Genomic DNA, 2,266 nt, shown 5'->3' with positions numbered 1-2,266 from the left:
TGGCTCACTGCAGCCTCCGCCTCCCAGATTCAAATGATTCTTCAGCCTCAGCCTTCCGAGTAGCTGGGACTACAGGCGTGCACCACCACACCCAGCTAGTTTTTTTTTTTTTTTTTTTTTTTTTTTTTTTTTTGTATTTTTAATAAAGATGGGTTTTCACCGTGTTAGCCAGGATGGTCTTGATCTCCTGACATTGTGATCTGCCTGCCTCGGCCTCCCAAAGTGCTGGGATTACAGGCATGAGCCACCACACCCAGCCCTAAGAAATGATTTTCAAAACACCCTGGGTCTCTCCTATCCAGTTCCTAGGCAGGTAAAAGACATTTGAAATGTTGGGTAATTGGTTTTAAAAAAAGCCAGGGTCATCAGTCTTCTGACTCTTAGGTGATAGAAAACACAGATTGACACTGGTCACCATCCATAATAAACCATCTTCAGGGGAGCCGGTGGGCTAGTGTGTACTCCACCAGCTCACTGATGGGAGATGATTTAACATTAGAGTCAGGCCATCTGGCAGAACCAAGCAATTAATATTTTCAGTGTTTGCTGAACTTGTCTTGTTCCTCAGTTTCAGTAGACCCAAAAATGTGTTAGAAATGGATATTCTTGACCATTCTTTTGAGATGATCATACGCAGTATTCAAGGTCATAAAATTGGCAGGCTGTTTTGTTTTATCTTTTATTTAAGTGGATGTTTTCCTTTGCAATGAAGTGTTCTGTTGCCAAAGACCATTTGGTTCTGCTTCCATGCACCCATCAAATTCTCTAGACTTTTGCTAACCCAAGCCCTATTTGAGTAAATCATATGCATATTGGAATTCTGTGGGAACTGGGGTCAGAACAAAAGTTGCCCATTTTCTCCTTGTGTCAATCCTGCAAACACTCTCCGAATTCCCTGCCTAGGGCTATAAGACATTGACATAGCAGTATGAGGGTTTGCACACAGCAAGAGCGGGTGATAGGTCACACACTAACTGTTCTGGTGTTCACCAGGCATGACCCAGTGTCTAAGATCAGAAATGAATTGTTCAGAGACTGGTTGGAGACCTGTGGCTCTCACAGGGATCACTGGAGAGTGTTGGCAGCAGGCGGAGGATGAAATTCAACGTGCTGGATTAAGAACTGAGGAACACAAAGATGACTGAGATGTGATCCCATTTTGGGGATTCTACCATCCAGGATGGGAGAGGAACGTTTGTTCTACAGATATGTAAAGCACATCTACCATGTGCCAGGCACTGGGGAAACAGAGATAGTAAGATGGGGGCACTGCTTGCTTGTAATGCATAACTTGACGGGAGACAGACATGTGAGAAGAGAACTGTGATCCCAAATGATAAGTGGATGCCAAGCATTCTTGAGAGGAAGGAGGTGGGCATGGAATATTAGAAGTAGCTTCATAGTGGCCAGGTGCGGTGGAGCATGCCTATAATGCCAGCACTTTGGGAGGCCGAGGCCGGCAGATTACTTGAGGTCAGGAGTTCCAGACCAGCCTGGCCAACATGGTGAAACCCCGTCTCTACTAAAAATACAAAAATCATCCAGATGTGGTGGCAGGTGCCTGTAATCCCAGCTACTTGGGAGGCTGAGGCAGGGGAATCACTTGAACCCGGGAGGCAGAGGTTGCAATGAGCTGAGATCGCACCACTGCACTCCAGCCTGGGCAACAGAGCGAGACTCCGTCTCAATGGCTGGGAGGGAAAAAAATAGATTGATAGTAAATAGGAATGTGTGGGGAATAGCAGTAACGATGATGACACTAGCAAATACTAATGAGGCACCACGAGGCACTGTTCTTAGATTTTAGATATATTGGGTCACTTGATCCTCACACAATCTTATGTACAGATGAGATTGGCTCACTTGCCTATGATCACAGTGCTTGTTAGGAACAGAGGTGGGATTTGAACCCTGGCAGCCCGGCTCTCTGGAGCCTGGGCTTCACCACTACACTCTGTCACCATGTACCATGAGAGCATGATGTGGGAGTGGAGGAAGCTAAGCTAGGAAAGATCTGACATGTAAGTTAGAGCTAGATGGTGATAGCTTTGTCTGCCATCTGTCAGATTTGAGACTTTACCCCGTAGGCACAGAAGGATTCTGCGTAGGAGAGCTTGCAACCAGATCTATGTTTTGAAAAAAAAAATCATCTTAGCAGCTATAATAATGAACTAGAAGCAGAAGAAACTGAAGGCTGGTTTAAGGCTATTGCAGTTGTCTAGGCAAGACCTGAGGAGACCTGAAGGGCTGGAGAAGAGGGGAAAAA

This window comes from Homo sapiens, chromosome 1 (assembly GCF_000001405.40).
Source record: "Homo sapiens chromosome 1, GRCh38.p14 Primary Assembly".
NCBI classification, from domain to species: Eukaryota; Metazoa; Chordata; class Mammalia; order Primates; family Hominidae; genus Homo; species Homo sapiens.
The sequence above is the reverse complement of the archived record's forward strand: the minus strand, read 5'-3'. Positions refer to the sequence as shown.